The sequence below is a fragment of the Homo sapiens genome, chromosome 5, assembly GCF_000001405.40.
Source record: "Homo sapiens chromosome 5, GRCh38.p14 Primary Assembly".
NCBI lineage: Eukaryota > Metazoa > Chordata > Mammalia > Primates > Hominidae > Homo > Homo sapiens.
In genome coordinates, this window is record NC_000005.10 from 580,097 (window position 1) to 600,176 (window position 20,080).

The following is a 20,080-nucleotide window of genomic DNA, read 5'->3' on the forward strand; positions in this document are numbered from 1 at the left end:
GAGCTGGGTACACAGCAGGTGCTCAAAGGTGGCTTCACTTTGCAAATAAGAATCTTCAGCAAAGCCCCAGGATCCCAGCAGGGGCCCGCCAGGGGTCCACCACATGAGAGCCCAGGTGTTAACTCAGTGTGTGAGCATCCTTTTAACATAATCCTTAAGTTGGTGGCAGAATTTCCTTCCCCAATAAGCTCTGCCGTGTTTTGAATTTCATCCTGCCTCCCAGTGTGTGTTTTAAAGATCTCTTTACATTTGCTCTGCCCGGGTAGGGTATTCATGTGATGCCAAGCCCAAGGCGTTTCCTTCTTTGCTCTTAATTCTTAAATTCTGCTGGTATTTAATATTTTCAACTTCCAAACCTTCACACGGGTATCTTTACTAATGTAGATCAGATTCATTTGTGTTCCTGGTTGCTACAGAATTAGAAAAACAGGAAGAGAATGAACAAAGTAACGCATCTCCGTGGCAGGTTCGGCAACCCTCAGTGTTCAAGTTTCAGCTGTGCACGGCAGGGCCTGTCTGTGGGATGTAGACATGAGCCGCCCAAGTCACAGCAGAAGGCGAGAGGATTCCGGACCTTTGCGGCCACAGCGAGGACATGGGTGGGAGGGGAAGCATGGGATTTGAGGAGGGTGAACACACACACACCATTAGTAGTTGTAAGTTTTCAGCACGTTTACATCCAAAGTCACTTTGTAAATTAGTAACTTTGTTATTGGAGGTAAATTTTCAAGCTGCTGGTTGGACCTGGCGTTTTGTTGTTGAAGCTCTAGATGGAGGCACAAGCAGCCGGAACTCAGGGACGAAACCCTCTGCCATTTTCAGTTGGTGAGGAAAACGAGCCACAGACAAAGGGAAATGCTGCTTGGTGCAAAAGGAAAACAAAATGAATACAGAGATGCGCGCATACCTGTTTCTGAAAGGAGGAATGAACAGCAAAACCTTGGCAGGGCCAACCTGGCCAGAGGCTGGGCAGGTGCTGCCGGTTTCTCTTCATGCCTCTCCAGGTTGAATCTCCTGGTCTCACCCACCTACCCTTGATTACTTTCTAAAGATATAAGCAGAAGTTTTATAAAGAGTGAGGTGCTGGTCTACTTTCTTTTCTCTTTGTACTTCTCTGAGTAAAGGACACTGAGTCAGCATCCCCACAAATGCTGAATGTATGTATATTGAGCCAGCATCCCCACAAAGGCTGAATGCACACTGAGCCAGCATCCCCACAAAGGCTGAATGCACACTGAGCCAGCATCCCCACAAAGGTTGAATGCATGCCAAGCCAGTATCCCCACAAACACTCAATGCACACCAAGCCAGCATCCCCATACACACTGAATCCATGTCGAGCCAGCACCGCCACAAACGCTGAATGCAACACACACCTCGGCTGGATGTTTGAAGCAGCCAGGAGTCTGCATTTCTGAGACGATGGGAAAAAGTGGATGTGGCCTGGGGATTGGCTGATGCGAGGGAATTGTGCTTGTTTGGGGCCTACTGTATTGGGCTCCATAGGAAACAGGCCTTATTCCTTAGAGACATCTGCTCTGCTGAGTTCCCCAGGGGTCTAATGGCGTGATGTCTATAAGCCAACGCGAGTCCCTCCACCAAGATAATAGGTGAAGTAAACACGGCCAAATGTGAGTGTGTTAGAAGGTGGTGAGGGGCGGCTGACTCTCTCTGCCTCCGTGTACGTTAGGAGTGTTCCATAATTAAAACTTTCTGATCAGGTGCAGTGGCTCATGCCTGTAATCCCAGCACTTCGGGAGGCAGAGGTGGGTGGATCATCTGAGGTCAGGAGTTCAAGACCAGCCTGACCAACATGGTGAAACCCCATCCCTACTAAAAATACAAAAATTAGCTAGTCTTGGTGGCGGGCACCTGTAATCCTAGCTACTTGGGAGGCGGAGGTGGGAGAATCACTTGAACCCGGGAAGCAGAGATTGCAGTGAGCTGAAATGGTGCCACTGCACTCCAGCCTGGGCAACACAGACTCCATCTCAAAACAAAACAACACAACTTTCTTTTGCCCTCTGCCCAGCAGATGCAGCCAGGCCCTGGCAGAGAGGCTGTCTCCCTCTGTCCCCTGGTTCCCTTGTGTTCAGAATTGGTTCCTTCCACCGGGTTCTTGGTCTCGCTGACTTCAAGAATGAAGCCGCGGACCCTTGCAGTAAGTGTTACAGTTCTTAAAGATGGTGTCCGGAGTTTGTTCCTTCAGAGGTTTAGACGTGTCTGGAGTTTTTTTTTCTTTCCGGTGGGTTAGCAGTCTCACTGACTTCAGGAGCGAAGCCACAGACCTTCACAGTGAGTGTTACATCTCTTAAAGGTGATGCTCATTCTTCCTGGTGGATTCGTGGTCTCGTTGGCTTCAGGAGTGAAGCTGCAGACCTTCACGGTGAGTGATACAGCTCATAAAGGTAGTGCAGACTCAAACAGTGAGCACCAGCAAGATTTATTGCAAAGAGCAAAAGAACAATGCTGCCCAGGTACAGACTCGTACCAGCACAGGTTGCCACTGACTAGGCTGGTGGCCAGCTTTTATTCCCTTATTTGGACCCACCCACATCCTACTGATTGGTCCATTTTACAGAGTGCTGATTGGTCCATTTTACAGAGTGCTAATTGGTGCATTTACAAACCTTTAGCTAGACACAGAGAGCTGATTAGTGCATTTACAATCCTTTAGCTAGACAGAAAAGTTCTCCAAGTCCCCAACCCAACCCAGAAGCCCAGGCAGCTTCACTACTCACTACCTTCTGCACTTCCCCACCATCTGCAAGGCTGCACGTTGACCGCAGAGAGCCAGGGCTGGCCACCACCACATCTCATCCCCTGCCGTTCCTGCTGACTTTCCTTCACCCGCACTCCCTTTTTAATTGTGCGGTTCTGTGTTTATTTTGCCTCTTCAAATGCTTTTGACAGTGACACAAAAGTATGTGTTTCCTATGTCAGCTTTACCCAAGAAGCACCTGTGACTGGGGATCGCTCTGCCATCGGCACAGGTGTCTCTGGCCGCGGGCAGCCCGCCTGTTTGGGGTCGGCAAAGGCTCCAGGTGTTGAAGTGGTAAAATCTCGAAGCTGCCTGGCCCATCTCTTACCCCTGCTCTCCTGTGCCGCTTCGTCCTCAGGCCGCCCCACCCAGCAGTCTTGCTATAAAGATTTTCCGAGGGGTCCAGCAAGACTGTGGCTCTCACTCAACCACTTCGCGTTGCCCACTCCTGGTGCCCTTGGACACCTGTGGACGGAGAGTGGGAGAGGCAGTCCTGAGGGAAATTTGAGGTGCTGACACCAGGAAAAGGAAAATGGATGCTGGACTGGCGGACACAGCATGCGTGTCGTGATGGTGAGGGGTGAAGAGGAGTCGCTCCAGTGTGAGGCACATCATCCGAGAACTCCCACGAGTGAGGGCAGGGCTGCGGGGGGCTGGGGCAGTGTGTGCGAGGTAGAACAAGCAGGGAATGTGTCAGGAGCTTTCCCTGCAGGCAGGTAGTAGAAGCTGATGAAGGCTTGCAAACAGAAGATAGGGGTCAAATGTACATTCTGGGGAGGTCACTCTGGCTGCCAGAAGTTTATAACATCAGCAAGTGTGCAAGGCTTGGCTCCTAGTAAACCTTTAATAGATGGATGAACAGAGAGGTGAATGGGTGGGTGAGTGGGATGGTGATGAATGGGTGGATAATGAATGCATGGATTGCATGGATGATGGATGGATGAATGAATGAATGAATAAATGGGTGGGTGGGTAGATGAATGGATGGGTTGATAAATGGATGAATGGGTGGGTGGATGGATGGTTGGATAAATGGGTGGATAAATGGGTGAGCGAGTAGATGGGTGGGTGGGTTGGTGGCTGGATGGGTGGTTGAGTGGCTGGGTGGATGGAAGAATGGGTGGGTGGATGGATGGGTGGGTAGATGGCTGGGTAGCTGGATGGATGGGTGAGTGGATGGGTGGGCGGGTGGATGGATGGGTGGGTGAGTGGGTGGGTGGATGGATGGGTGGCTGGGTGGGTGGTTGGCTGGGTGGGTGAGTGGATGGGTGGACGGATGGGTGGGTGGGTGGATGGATGGGTGGCTGGATGGGTGAGTAGTTGGTTGAGTGGGTAAGTGGGTGGGTGGATGGGTGGCTGGCTGGATGGATAGATAAATGGGTGGGTGAGTGGATGGATGGGTGGATGGATGATGAATGAGCGGCTGGCTGGGTGGGTGGGTGGGTGAGTGGATGGCTGGCTTGGTAGGTGGATGGATGGGTGGCTGGATAGGTGTGTGGGTGGATGAATGGGTGGGTGGATGGGTGGGTGGCCAGATGGATGGGTGGCTGGCTGAGTGGGTGGGTGGATGGATGAGTTGCTAGATGGGTGAGTCGCTGGCTGGCTAGGAGGGTGGGTTGGTAGATAAATGGGCAGCTGGAAGGTTGAATGGGTGGATGGATGGATGGGTGAGTGGATGAATAGATGGCTGGATGGGTGAGTGGCTGGCTGGTTGGGTGGGTGGCTGGATGGGTGGGTGGATGAGTGGATGGGTGGGTGAATGGGTGGCTGGATGGGTGGGTGGATGGCTGGATGGGTGAGTGGCTGGCTGGTTGGGTGGGTGGCTGGATGGGTGGGTGGATGAGTGGATGGGTGGGTGAATGGGTGGCTGGATGGGTGGGTGGCTGGATGGGTGAGTGGCTGGATGGGTGAGTGGCTGGATGGGTGGGTGAGTGGATGGATGGATAAATGGGTGGGTGGATGGATGGGTGGGTGGATGGATGGATAGATAAGTGGGTGACTGGATGTGTGGGTGGATGGATGGGTGGAAGGGTGGATGGGTGGGTCGCTGGATGGGTGGCTGAGTAGATGGATGGATGGATGGATAAGTGGGTGGCTGGGTGGGTGGGCAGGTGGATGGATGGATAGGTGGATGGATGGGTCGCTGGATGGGTGGGTGGGTGGCTGGCTGGCTGGATGGATGGATAAGTGGATAGATGGATGGGTGGGTGGTTGGGTGGCTGGATGTGTGGGTGGGTGGATGGATGGATAGATGGGTGGATGGATGGATGGGTGGGTGGATGGATGGGTTGCTGGATGGGTGGGTGGATGGATGGATAAGTGGGTGGATGGATGGGTGGCTGGATGGGTGGGTGAGTGGATGGATGGATGGATGGGTGGCTGGATGGATGGGTGGCTAGAAGGGTGGGTGGATGGATGGGTGGCTAGAAGGGTGAGTGGATGAATGGATGGCTAGAAGGGTGAGTGGATGGATGGGTGGCTAGAAGGGTGAGTGTGTGGCTGGATAGGTCAGGGAGTGGGTGGGTGGATAGATGAGGGAATGAACAGGTTGAATGGATGGATTCAGGGATGGATGAGAAGGCAGTGAGGCATGAGGACAGCATAGACTTTGACAACATGCTGATTTGACCCTGGCTCTGTCACTCACTCACTGTCCCATCTGAGACAGCTCTGCAGCTCTTGGGTCTCCATCTCCTCATCTGGAAAATGGAGATAATATTTCTGCCCTGGCAGGACTTGATGTAGAGGTAATGGGGTTATGCAGAGCCTGGCACCCAGCAGGTGACTGAACATGGGGACCATGGCACTCCGAGAGTGCTCTGCTCCAAACGCAGCACTGGGGGGTGGGGCACGGGGGGGAGGTCAGGGTGTGCCCCCGCTCCTCCCAACAGCTTCAAAGACAGGACCCTCAATCACACAGAACCCTAGGGAAAGAGCCTTGGCCGAGGTACCCTCCATCCAGAGGTGCTGAGGCTGCGCCCCTGAAGATACACATACGATACACATACTGGAAGTCAATGTTAGATATGGTTTAAATCTCATCCTGAAAGAACTCCAGCCAGGCACGGCGGCTCATGCCTGTTATCCTAGCATTTTGGGAGGCTGAGGTGGGTGGATTGCTTGAGCCCAGGACGTTGAGGCTGCAGTAAGCCAGGACTGCACCACTGCCCTCCAGCCTGGGTGACAGAGTGAGACCCTGTCTCAGGGAGAAAGAAGAAAATAAAGAAAGAAAGAAAGAGAGGGTAGGAAGGGAAGAAGGAAGGAAGGGAGGGAGGGAGGAAGGGAGGGAAGGGGAAAGGAAGGAAGAGAGAAAGAGAAGGAAAGAAGAAAAAGATGAAAGAAAGACAGACAAAAGAGAAAGAATGAAAGAAAGAAAGAAAGAAAGAGAAGCAAGCAAGCAAGCTCCATGCAGTATCATTAGGAAAACAAACGGTGAAGCATAGTTTGTTGAATGAAACCTTTTGTTTAAGATGGGAGGAGGGTGATGAAGTTGCGCAGGCATTTACTTGCATTTGCAAAAGTAATTCTGGGAGCCCGAACATGAAAGCAACAGGCACAGAGTCCGGAGGGCGTGAGAGCTGGCAGGGGACGAGGTGGCAGTGGGAGTTAGGCTGCTGACTGCATAACTTTTTACTGTTTGATTATCAAGCCACACAAATGCATTGCCTTTTGTTAAAATCAAAGAAAATTAAAACAACGCATCTTCCATTTGAGGGAGCAGTTAGCAGGGGTTGAGCCCACTGAGCCACAGTCCACTGCACTTTCCGCTGAGCCCCTGGGATCAGGGCCCTTTCCTGGCTGACCTTGCACCACCCCCTGGGCTTCTGCTGCAAGGTGGCAGTGGGGGAATGGGGGGTGGAGGGCAGCGTGTGAGGGTGCGGGCAGCTCTGACTTGCTGTTTAGAATCATTTCTCCATCAACACCTGAGCCTGGTGGCCCTCACCTTCTGCGTCCATCCTGATGTCCAGCTGTAGCAGCTCCGTGGGCGCCTGTCCCTTCTCTGCAGCTCCAGCTGGTCCAACCACCCTCTCTGTGCCCGCCCCACAAGCTGCTGAACGCTTTGGCTCTGCAGGGGCAACAGAGCCCCAGAAATGCTGAGCTGACTGTGGGCTGCACATTTGACAGCGTCTCTTTGCCAAAGATCCTGGTCTCATTGGCCGAGTGGTGCCCAACAGGCCCCCTGGCCCTCCTGGTGGATGGCATTTGTGGTGCAGGTGCTGGCTGAACATCCTCAAGCTGGTATGGTGCCAGGCCTTCGGGGACAGAGTCCTGCCCATCCCTGAAGAGACCTGATCCCTGGGCAACCAGACCACAGGAGGTGCCCTGGACAGCCTGACTGGGTCAGAGCCCTGGAGACTGGCTGAGCACCGTGCAGAGTCTGTGGCACCTGGGGCTGCTGTATGGCCTCTGGGTGCTGCAGCTTTGTCACCCCTGAGACCCACAAGGCAATGACATCACTCCATAGGTGTTTTTAGAAAAATTAGTAGACTTTATTTTTAGAGCAGTCTTAGGGTTATGGTGAGCAGGAAGGCAGAGGTTCCCATGTACCCCTCCCTCCCTTATTAAACCTTGCGTTTGCATGGAATGCTGGTTACACGTGATGAGCCAATATTGGTAAATTATTACTAATAGACATTGCACATTGTGCAACAATACACACTATTCTGGGCTAATGGGTGCTCTTACTTCCTGGGCCTCCCAAGGCTGCCGCTTCTCAGGGTGGGGTGGGGCCCTCTCAGTACCCACCTTCCTGGAAGAGTGCCTTGAACATGGAGACAGGAGCATTGAGCAGACTCACCCGATCAGGATGCCAGGTGCCCGGCTCCAGCTCTGGCCACAACTGCTTGTGAACTTGCTCTTCCAGATCCTTCCAGGCCACCTTGCAGTGCACAGAGCAGGCCCTGACACATGGAGTTGGTGTGTTCCATACGTGGAGGTGGCATGTTCCATGCGTGGAGGTGGTGTGTTTTATGTGTGGAGATGGCGTGTTCCATACGTGGAGATGGCATGTTCCATATGTGGAGGTTGCATGTTCCATGCCAGGAGGTGGTGTGTTCTATATGTGGAGGTTGCATGTTCCATGCCAGGAGGTGGTGTGTTCCATATGTGGAGGATCTGTGTTCCACATGTGGAGGTGGTGTGTTCCATGCCTGGAGGTGGCATGTTCCATGCCTGGAGGTGATGTGTTCCATATGTGGAAGTTGTGTGTTCCATGCATGGAAGTGGCGTATTCCATAGTGGTCTTGCATGCAGAGCTCTGCACAGTTCACACAGAGGCTCAGGTGCATCCCTTGCTGATTGGCTCATCCAGACAAAGCAGTGAAAACCAAGCCCTGGATTTATTAAGAGGGTGGGAGTCCGGGGTGTGGCACAGACCCCTCCGGTCTCGGCCTGTCTGTCCTTCCAACATTTGTCAGGCAGCAGACATGGCTGTTATGGGAAATATGGAAGCGTTGTCTTGCAGCCATCGTGTCCAGTAATGACCTCATTCCATCGCAAATTGGTGGAGAACATGCTCCCGTGAGTTGCCCCAGAGCACAGCGGTGGGTACAGCTGAGATTCTAGCCTGGTTTTACATCTTCCCCCAGCGGCCAAGCCTCCTGATACTAATTGTCATTTTTGTCAATTGTTTTACATTGTTTTTATGGACACATTATTCACACACGTGTCTTCCTGCAGAACACCTGCCAGTGCTGTGCTGTGTTTCTGCAACACGTCAAAATGCTGTGTGGGTGAAAATGAAGTGGTGACAAGGATGTTCTGTTGACGTTTCCCGTGACATCTTTGGGGGAGGGCAGAGGTGTGAGGCCTTCTGTGTCTGTCGAGGCATTAGGGTCAGAAATGATGATGATGTTTTCAGTCTATAACCTTGAAATAAAAATGAACAAGGAATCATACCTATCCCCAAATCCACAGAATGCCCCAGGCTGCTCCCGGCACAGGTGCAGAGCAGAGCCCAGGCTGTGCCTCATTCTGTGAGCAGCAGCTCTGGGGTGGCAATGGACCCACAGCCCATCCAGGCTGTAATGCGGAGGGTGTGCGTTATTCTTGGCACCTGCCATGCCCACAACCGTCAGAACATTGGGGGCTCATCCTGCAGCTCACCAGCTCTGGAATTTTCTGCCCCGAAAGAGAAAAAGCATAACTCCACACTGTCTGACACTGAAGCTTCCAGGAAGGCATCCTCAGAAGTGCCAGGCTCAGCAGATGCTTTCTCAACCGTGAATTCGAGCCAGGTGTTGTCCCAATTTCAGGACGCTGTGATCTATGTCCTTGTCTTGCAGTGACACCATTGCCTTGCTAAGCCATAAATAATGTGATCAGGAACACATTTTGGCTTTGAAGACAGAAGGTCCCAAACCATCATTCAAATGCAAGAGGGAGAGGAAGGCATCAGCTGCCCACATAGTTCACGCCTCCACCTTGGCTGCACCCTAACCATCCCATTGAGAAGTGTATCCATTATCCATGGCTGTGTAACAAATCCCCACAGCTTAGCAGCTTGAGCAACAAGCACTCATCATCTCACAGTTTCTGTGGGTGAGGAAGCTGGGAGTGGTGAGTTGGGTGGTTCTGTCTCAGGGGCTGTCACATGGCTGCTGTCAAGCTCATGCCTGGGGCTGTGGTAATTTGAAGGCTCAACTGGGGCTGCAGATCTGCTTTCAAGGTCTCTCAAATGAGTTTGGCAGGAGGTGCTATTAAAATATTGAAAGTAATCACAAAAACTGCAATTACTTTTGCACCAACCTAATAGTTGCTCTCCTTAAGTATCTCCTAGAGCCAGTGATGTGAGAGTGAGCACTTGGAATGGAGCCGTGGTCTTCCACAGCCTGATCTCAGAGGTGACACCCACAACATCTGCCACTGTCATTTGGCCTGGGTCCAACCTAGTGTGATGAGAAGTGAATACCAGGAGCCAGGGAGGCATGGTCAGGTTGTGGCACCATGGAGGCTGCTAGCACCAAAGTGGGCATATTCAAATGCACTTCCTCTTGTAGTGGTTTGTTCTCATGCTGCTATAAAGAACTGCCTGAGACTTGGTAATTTATGAAGGAAAGAGGTTTAATTGACTCACAGTTTCACAAGGCTGAGGAGGCCTCAGGAAACTTACAATCATGGTGGAAGGGGAAGCAAACATGTCCTTCTTCACATGGCAGCAGCAAGAAGAAGTGCAGAGTGAAGGGGGAAGCCCTTTGTAAAACCATCAGATCTTGTGAAAATCACTCACTATCATGAGAACAGCATGAGGGTAACTGTCCCCATGATTCAATGACTTCCCACCAGGTCCCTCCCATGACATGTGGGGATTATGGGAACTACAATTCAAGATGAGATTTAGGTGGGGACACAGCCAAACCATATCACTTCTGTTGTAAACATTTACTGGCTGCCTGATGTATTTCTAATGTGTTGAATGCTATAGCAAAAAGTCATGTATCTGACAAGACCTGAACAATTACACTGTTTAATTTTCCAATTTTGCTGTGGAAGGAACTTGCCTAAATGAGAGGGACAGAGACTTGCCCAAGATACAAGACATAATTAGCTAGTGATAGAGTTGTTATCAGGATTTTTGTCTCTAATTCCCATTTCTATTTTAGTCCACAAAATTCCAAAGGAAAAAGCACAATCCTTGCCTTTAAGAGTCCAAAAATATTCTTAGGGTGATAAATGCTTTTTAAATAAGTTAATGAATCATGGTCATAGTATTTTCCATAAAATTCCAGAGTTTCCTGTCACCAAACAAGGGAGTGTTAGGTATAATTAGATATGTTCCCCTGGTATCCTAAAAGAATTTTCTTATTAAGAATGTTGATGTGTTGTCATGAATATATTATTTATATTGGAAAATATAGATTGCCATTTTAGTCAATGACAGGTTGTCATGAACCCCACATACCAGTGAGGGCACAATCAAGAGACAGAAACCACAGCAATTATTTAAACACAGAAAACTGAAATGAAGGATTGTTAACCAGGCTTGGAGTTTAGCAGGCAACTGAAAGATATCTTGAAGGTAGAGGCTACTAGAGGAAGCTACTACACCTGTGGCTGGAGGAACAAAGGGGAAATATTGGAACTACTACTATTTTAAAATCAAGACCTCTGAGGAGGGGTACCTGCCAGCTTTAGCTGTTGTCTTGGGGCTCAGAGGGGGGGCCCATGACAGGTGGAGGTTGCATTTCATCCATGTCTCCACGGGAGGAGACGTAAAACTGACCATTTTCTGAAAAGATCGTTTTCTTCCCCCTACTGCTTTGCCAGCATCTTTGTGGTTCTCTCAGTTTTGTTTTCTTTTGTCTTTGTTATAAAAATAGCTTTATTTTAACTTTGTTCTTGAATGATATTTTTACTTGGAGTAATATCCTAGACTGGGAGTTATTTTTTGTTTCTTACACCATTTAAAGATTTTATTGCATTGTCCTCTGGCTTCCATTGTTTCTGCTGAGAAGTTGGATGTCTATCAAATTTTTGCTCCTTCTAAAGTAATCTTACTTTGTATGCTGGTTGCTTTTATGATGTTTATTTTTATTTTGGTTTTCTGTAGTTCACTACAGTGTGTCTAACATGTGGATTTCTATTTATGTTATCTATTTCACTGGAGATTTTTCCCTTCAAATCTTGTATCATTTTTTAAAAATTTCATTAGTTGGACTTCACCTTTCTCTAGTAACTCCTTGATTAGCTTAATAATAGACCTTTTGAATTCTTTTTCTGGCACTTCAGGGATTTCTTATTGGTTTGGATCCATTGCTGGTGAGCTAGCATGCACTTTTGGGGGTACTAAAGAATGTTGTTTTGTCATATTACTGGAATTGTTTTTCTGCTTCCTTCTCATTTGGTAGACTATGTCAGAGGGAAGATCTGGGTCTCAAGGGCTGCTGTTCAGATTCTTTTGTCCCACAGGGTGTTCCCTTGAGGTGGTGCTCTCCCCCTTCCTCTAGCGATGGGGCTTCCTGAGGGCCGAACTGCAGTAATTGTTTTGCTCTTCTTGGTCTAGCCACCCAGTGGAGCTACTGGGCTCCAGGCTGGTACAGGGGAGTGTCTGCACAGAGTCCTGTGACGTGCTCTGTCTTCAGGTCTCTCAGCCATGGATACCAGCACCTGCTCTGGTGGAGGTGTCAGGGGAGTGAAGTGGACTCTGAGGGTCCTTGGTGGTAGCGTTGTTAAGTGCGCTGGTTTGGTATAGGTTGGCCTCCAGCCAGGAGGTGGTGCTTTCAAGAGTGCATCAGCTGAGGTTTTATAGAGAAGATACAAGCTTGCCCTAGAGCCCCCAGGAGATTATGTCCTTTGTCTTCAGCTACCAGGACAGGTAGAGAAAGACCACCAGGTGGGGGCAGGGTTAGGCATGTCCGAACTCAGCCTCTCCTTGGGTGGGGCTTGCTGCAGCTGCTGTAGGAGATGGGGCGTGGTTCCCTGGTCAATGGAGTTATGTTCCCAGAGGGATTATGGCTGCCTCTGCTGTGTCATACAGGTCGCCAGGGAAGTGTGGGGAAGCAGGCAGTTACAGGCTTCACCCCACTCCCACACAGCCAGCAAGGCCAGTCTCACTCCTGCCATTCGCCCCCACTCCCAACAGCACAAAGTCTGTCTCCGGGCAGTGGGTGAGCAGGGCTGCAAACCTGCCCCAGGCTATCTGCTTCCCAGCTGAGAAAGTAAGCAGAGTTTTAAGGCTTTGTGCCTCCCCACCTGGACACACCATTGGTCTGGGAACACTGTAACCCAGGATCAGGGACAGGGGGGTCCTGGAGTTCCCAGATGACTTGGAGTTGGGCTGCGGCCCCTGGCAGGCTGGTTGACCTCAGTTTACCTTTTATCCCCATGAAGAGCTATATAGGTTCTCTTCCCAAGCAGGGGATACAGAGCAGAAACTTTATTCCTCCTGGGTCTTTGTGCCAACACTTGTCCCCCGACCCCAAAGTACTTTCAAAAGGATGGCACTGATTTTTAGCCACTGCTCCTGAAATTGGCATGGCCCACAGAAGGCATGTCCCCAGATCCCAGGCTCACCCACCTACAATCGCATTTCTCTTGGCTGCCAGCCGGGCTTGTCTACACCCAGATCCCAGGCTCACCCACCTACAGTCGCATTTCTCTTGGGTGCCAGCCAGGCGTGTCTACACTACTTGGTTGGTTTCCAGTGCCTTCAAGCAGATATGGTTCTATTTTGTCCAAGTTTTCCAGTTATCCTTGGCATCTGGGGGGGTATAGGTGATCTAGACTTCCATTTTTGGAAGTGGAATTTCCTGGGTTGATTTCTTTTCCTGTTTAATATTTAAAGATGCACTGTGGGCCATGTGCGGTGGCTCACACTTATAATCCCAGCACTTTGGGTGGCCGATGTAGGTGGATCACCTGAGGTCAGGAGTTTGAGACCAGCCTGGCCATCATGGTGAAACCCCGTCTCTACTAAAAATACAAAAATTAGCCAGGTGTGGTGGCGTGTGCCTGTAATTCCAGCTACTCAGGAGGCTGAGGCAGGAGGATCACTTGAACCAGGTAGGTGGAGTTTGTAGTGAGCTGAGATTACACCACTGCACTCCAGCCTGGGTGACAGCGAGACTCCGTCTCAAAAACAACAACAAAAACAAAAAGACACACTGTGCATGTCCCTGGCCCAGGGCAGAAGTCACAGCCCAGCCTGTTGCCATTAGACACTCTGTTCCGTGACATGTCCCACGAGTCCCACACGTTGCCGAGGCCAGATCTTTACTGACCACTGGAGCCACCTTATGGCCTCAGGATGTGGCTTTGCTGGCATTCCTGTGGAAGAGGCACTGCCCCATCCATGTGCCACCCTGTGCTGTGATGGGGAGCCTGGCTGCTGCACTCACACTCGGGGTGGAAAGCAAAGCCCGACCCCTAATTTAGCCAGTGGGACTCAGGAGCAGGCCATTCACTTGTTCAATTCTGTCCATACTGAAGAGACGCCGGGCCCCTGGCAAGAGGCTACAGAGCCTCTTGCTTCCCTCAGAACCTCTCCTGGGGATAAGTTCCTGTTGTCCCTAAGTCAGCAATGAGGCTGAACCAAAAAGCAATGTGGCCAGGCCAGGGAAACCTTCTCTTTACGGCCAAGAAGTGGGGACCTGCATCTTTGGCCAAAGCAGACTTATGGGATTTAAGGACAAAGAGGCTAAATACACAAAGAAAAGGTGTGTGTACGTGTTTCCTAGGACTTCTGTAACAAATTATTGCACACCGCATGGCTGGAAACACTGGAAGTGTATTCTGTCACTGTTTCAGAGATGAGACGTGTAATTCAAGGTGTCCACAGGACCATGCACCCTCCAAAGGCTCCAGGGAGGAACTTTCCTTGCCTCTTTCCCTTTCTGGTGTTGTCCACAATTCTGGGTTGTCCCTGGCTTGTGACAACATCACACTATGCTGGCCTTCCTTCTCTGTGTGTCTGTGTGTCCAAATTTCTCTCTCTTATAAGGGTGTCATCATTAGGCTCACTCCAGTCCAGTGTGACCTCATCTTATTTAATGACATCTGCAAAGACCTGATTTCCAAATAAGGCACTGGGTGTTGGGATTTGGACATACCTTCTGAGGGGGAACTCAATCGTACCCACAACAGTGTGCTTCCTCTTTTGGATACACTGGGGATGGTTCCCTCTCTCTGGACCTGATACTGCTCTTTCCCCAAAGGCCACTGATTAGTCAACATGCTCCCTGGGGCTCATGTCAGCCAAGGAGGGCAATTGATTTCCAACCACCTGTCAACATCTGCTTTACCCCCTGGGCTGAGAGCTGAGTTTCCCACAGTGACAAGTAGGTGATAAAAGACAGGTGTCCAAGTGTTTCCTGGAGAAAAAGCACTGGTTTAACTTATTTAATTAGTTCCAGAGAAGCAGTCAGACAGAAATGACACATCCCCTACAGGGCACAATAATCCCGGCTGCAGTTTCTCATCAGATGCTGTGCAGACCAGGATGTGGAAGAACATTGAAAACAAGAAACCAAAGGAAGCACCAAGCCAGAGTTGTGCATCTGTGAGAATTTCAGAAATGGAGGAAAAATCGATGCAAGAATACCCTTCAGAAATGAAAAAATCGACCGAAAATACCCTTCAGAAATGAATTAAAAATCAACACGAGAATACCCTTCAGAAATGAAGGAAAAATCAATGCGAGAACACCCTTTGGAAACGAAGGAAAAATCGATGCGAGAACACCCTTCAGAAATGAAAAATCAACGTGAGAACACCCTTCGGAAATGAAGGAAAAGTCGACGTGAGAACACCCTTCGGAAATGAAGGAAAAATCGACGCGAGAACACCCTTCAGAAATGAAGAAAAGTCGACGCGAGAACACCCTTCGGAAACGAAAGAAAAATCGATGCGAGAACACCCTTCGGAAACGAAGGAAAAATCGACGCGAGAACACCCTTCGGAAATGAAAGAAAAATTGATGATCTCCAGTGAGGACGCACTAAGAGAATTTGTTGCCGGCACACCTGCTTTAAAAGATGCCAAAGCAAGTTCTTCAGCTTGAGGGAAGATACAGAGGAAAACCCACAACCCCAAGAAGGAAGAAAGGGCAAGACAAGCAGTAAATGTCCAAGGAAACACAGCACACTATTGTTCTCCTCTTTACCCCAAGTGACTTTTCTTGCTCTGAATCTATTTTGTCTCACATGAATAGAGCTGTTTGAGGATTTTTGTGTAACTGATGTTGGCCTGATAGCTCTTTTCCCATCCTTTGACTGTGAAACAGTCTGTATCATTACATTGAAAATGAGTTTCTTGTAGACAGCATGTAGATGAGTCTTTAAAGTACATATGATGGTTGAAAGCAACAATTAACAACATTGCTTGGTTGAATTTTCAATATGTGCAGGTGCAATACGATGACTGTGACAAAGGGCACAGTGAAGGGGCCTTGGTGGGGACAAGGTCCCAGCATTCCAGCCAGAAGTGGTAAAATATTAATTCTGCATAGACTGGCAAGGTGAGGAGGAGTTAGAATGTATATTGCAATCCTTAGAATGACAATACACAGAGATAGAATTCAAGAAACCATTAGATAAATCAAAATGAAATACCACAAAATATCCCAATAATCCAAAAGAAGACATGCAAAGGGGAAAAGGAGAAAAAATCAGAGGTGCCAAATAGAGGACATGCAAGAAATGCTGGACCTAAATTCAGACACATCAGTAATGAATATAAATGTAGATGATCTAAACATACTGATTAAAGGCAGAAATTATCAGACTGGATAAAGGCAAGTCTTATCTACAGGCTGTCTATAAAAACCCTCTTTAAATACAAAATATAGGCAGATTAAACATAAAAGGATAGAAAAAGATATGCCAAGCAAACACCAATTAAAAAAACTGGAGTGACAAAGTAGATTTCAGAGCAAGGAAAATTCCTAAGAGTAAAGAGGGACGTTGCATAATGACAAAGGATCAACTCCCCAAGAAGACCTAGTAATCCTAAACACATATGCACCCAACGATAGGGCTTCCAAACACACAAGACAAAGACGATAGAGCTGCCTGAAAGGGAACAGGCAGCTCCATACTGGAATTGGTGACCCCAACATTCCCATCTCAGTTGGTTAGGGCTGCCATGTCAAAATACCACAGACTGGGGCCTTAAAGGGCAAAAATTTGTTTTCTCACCATTCTGGAAGCTGGAGGACCAAGATGAAGGCTGTTGGGGTTGACTTCTCAGTGTTCTCACATGGTATTTTTTTGTGCTGGTGTGGAGAGTGAATGATTCCTGGCTTCTTTCCATCTTCTTGTAAGGACATAAGTCCTATTGAATCGGACCCCCTCATATGACTTCTTGCAACCATAATCACCTCCTTACAGGCCCTGTCTCTAAATACAGTTACATTGGGGGTTAGGGCTTCAACATGTGAATTTTGTGGGACACAATTCAGTCCATAACAACTCCTCTCTCAGTAGCTGATAGAAAAGTGGACAGTAAATTAGCAGGATATGGAAGAACTGACCAGCTCCAGGAACCAACTGGACCTAACTAACATTTATAAAACGTTCTGCCAAACAACATCTACATACACTTTCTTTTTGGTCATAAAATGCATGTGAAAAAATTTAAAATACAAAAAACCTACAATGGTGTTAAACTAGAAATCAATAATATAAAAATGCCTAGAAAACCTCCAAATAGGTGGAAATTAAACAACACACTCCTTAGACAATGCAAATGTTGAGGAGAATGGCTCAGAAAAACTGGAAATCACTTGAACTGAATGAAAATGAAAAATATAGCAAAATGAAACAGTGCTTAGAGAGAAATTTATAGAACTAAATGCTTATAGCCCTACAAGCATTTAGTTAGAAAAGAAATGCTAATATTAAAAACAGAAGAAAATTATAAATCAACAATCTAAGCTTCCACCTTAAGAAATTACGAAAATAGGAGCAAATTAAACTGAAAGCAGGCAGAAGGAAGGAAAGAATAAAGATAAGAGAAACCAATGAAATAGAAAACAGAAAGACAACAAAGAAAAATCAATAAACTAGAGGCTGGTTCTTTGAAAAGATCAGTAAAATTGATAAAGCTTTAACCAGACTGATTAGCAAGGGAGAAAGAGAGATAAATTTCCAGTATCAATAATGAAAGAGGATATATCACTATTGACCCACAGACATTAAGAGGGCAATGCACGAACATTATGAGCTACTCCCTGCATATACATCTGACAACTTTGAAGGAATAAGCCAATTCTTTAAAAGCCACAAACTACCAAAACTCACTCAACAAGAAATAGATGGCCTGAACAACCCTTTTGTATTAAAGTAATTGAATTCATAGCAGAAAAACTTTCTGAAAATGAAAATTCCAGACACAGATGGTTTCATTAGCAGATTTTATGAACAGGTAATGAAGAAATATTACCAATTCTGCACAATCTCCTCCAGAAAATAGAAGAGAAATGCTTTCCTACTCATGTTATGAAAACAGCATTACTCCAGTGCCAATGCCAGATAAATGACAGTACAAGAAACAAAACTACGTACAAATATCTCCCATGAACATAGATGCAAATGTATAAATTGTGACAGTAGCATGCAAGGCTGGCTAAACATCTGAAATTCAATCAGCACTCTCCACTGTATTGACAGACCAAAGAAGAAAACACACACGATCATCTCAAATGACGCAAAAAACAATGTCAAAATTCAAGAATCATTCATGGAAAAAGTCTCAGCAAACTAGGAGCAGTGAGGAACTTCCTTAACCGGATGGAATGTATCCATTAAAAACCCACAGATGACGTCGCACATAGTGGTGAAAAACTGGATACTTCCTCCCTAAAATCTGGAATGAGGATAGGCGGTCCCCACTCCCATCCTTGCCAACATCATCCTGAAAGTCCCAGCTAGTGCAATAAAGCAAGAGAAGGAAATAAAAGGCATTCAGACAAGAAAGGGAGAAAGAAAACCATCTCTATTTACAGAGAGCATAATTGTTTATGTAGAACATTCCAAGGAATTTACCAAAAAAGACACAAAAACCTCACCTATAACTAGTCCATGAGTTCAGCAGTGTCACAGGATACAAGATTGGCACACACGTGTCAATGGCGTTTTTATCTAATAACAGTGAACACGTGGGAATTGAAGTTTAAGTCTCAGTCCCACTGACAGCCCTGCCAAGAGAATGAAACACAAACACACTTAACACAACACGAGTAGATGAATAATGGGCAAAAGAGGGAAGAACTCATTCACCAAGGACATTTGGATGGCAGATAAGAACACGAGATGCTCGACATCGTCAGCCACGAGGGAATAAAAATGTACACCACTGATGTGTGGAACCACCACACACCTGTGAGAACAGCGCGAGGAAAAAGGAAACGCGTGGTCACACCCAGCACTGGCGAGGACGCGGAGCCCCTGGCTCTCCTGTGCCACTGCTGGGGGTGTGACGTGCGGCAGCTGCTCCAGACGACAAGGTGGCAGTGTATTTTAATGTTACAACTATGCTTACCTTGGGATCCAGCAACCCCCTGCCTGGACATGCATGCTGGAGAAATGAAAGTTTATTTCACGGGAAAATCTACACACGACTGTTTGTAGCGGCTTCACTCCAGGGATTAGAAAATGAACCACTTACTTGAATCCAGTGAATATTCACCAAAAACAACCAACCAAATGTGTAAACAACATTGAGACCTACTAGAAACAACAAATACCTGCTTACATATGTTAATTGTTTGCCCATTTTGCCTCTGTGGACTTCCATTCCAATTCTTTATTCTTCCAATACCTATGACTGTTTCTATTTAAGGTGTTAAAGGAAACGTTTGACGGATCGAATAACTGATATGACATTTATCTTACTTTACTTTTAAAATCTCAACTTTTATTTTAGATTTAGGGGCACACGTGCAGATTTGTTACATGAGAATATTGTGTGATGCTGAGGTTTGGAGGACGGGTGCCATCACCCAGATGGCGAGCATCATACCTGAAGGAAGTTCTTTAATCCTCCATCCCCAACCCTCCAGGAGGCCCCAGTGACTTTTGTTCCCATCTTTTTGTCCACGTGTCCTCAATGTTTAGCTCCCACTTGTAAGTAAGAACATGCGGTATTTGGTTTTTTGCTCCTGCATTAATTTGCTTACGAGAATGGCCTCCAGCTGCATCCATGTTGCTGCAAAGGACACGATTCCATTCTTTTTATGGCTACGTAGTATTCCACAGTGTATATGTACCACGTTTTCTTTATGTAGTCCACCACTGATGGGCACCTAGGTTTGTTCCATGTCTTGCTATCGTGAATAACGCTGTGATGAACATATGTGTCCTTTTGGCAGAATCCTTTATTTTCTTTTGGGTATATACCCAGTAATGGGATTGCTAGGTTGAATGGTAGCTGTGTTTTAAGATCTTTGAGGAATCTCCAGACTGCTCTCCACGGGCCTGGGCTAATTTATGTTCCCACCAGCAGTGCGTGAGCATCACCTTTTTTCTTCAGCTTCACCAGCATCTGTTGTTTTTTTGACTTTGTAATAATCGCCATTCTGACTGCTGAGCTGGCATCTCATTGTGGTTTTGATTTGCATTTCTCTGATAATGAGAATTTTTTCTTATACTTGTTGGTCACTTGTATGTCTTGTTTTGAGAAGTATCTGTTCATGTCCTTTGCCTTTTTTTTTTTTTTTTTGAGACAGAGTTTCACTCTGTAGCCCACGCTGGAGTGCAGTGGCGCAATCTCGGCTCACTGCAAGCTCCTCCTCCCTGGTTCACGCCATTCTCCTGCCTCAGCCTCCCGAGTAGCTGGGACTACAGGCGGCCACCACCACGCCCAGCTAATTTTTTAATATTTTTT

General features: G+C 47.7%; 3 annotated features.

Annotated features, from left to right (window-relative positions):
- Positions 2,902 to 3,071: an enhancer, noted in NCBI's record as "experimental_86692/86693 CRE fragment used in MPRA reporter constructs". NCBI's record gives its function as "activates a minimal promoter by MPRAs in K562 erythroleukemia cells, with activity observed for both the introgressed and non-introgressed 5:583198 variant alleles {active_cell/tissue: K562}" and the evidence as "EXISTENCE:reporter gene assay evidence [ECO:0000049][PMID:34662402]".
- Positions 6,328 to 6,497: an enhancer, noted in NCBI's record as "experimental_86701 CRE fragment used in MPRA reporter constructs". NCBI's record gives its function as "activates a minimal promoter by MPRAs in K562 erythroleukemia cells, with activity observed for the non-introgressed 5:586624 or rs57221529 variant allele {active_cell/tissue: K562}" and the evidence as "EXISTENCE:reporter gene assay evidence [ECO:0000049][PMID:34662402]".
- Position 6,413: a transcriptional cis regulatory region, noted in NCBI's record as "Neanderthal adaptively introgressed variant 5:586624 (GRCh37/hg19 assembly coordinates) or rs57221529 in the experimental_86701 CRE". NCBI's record gives its function as "modulates activity of the experimental_86701 enhancer by MPRAs in K562 erythroleukemia cells {active_cell/tissue: K562}" and the evidence as "EXISTENCE:reporter gene assay evidence [ECO:0000049][PMID:34662402]".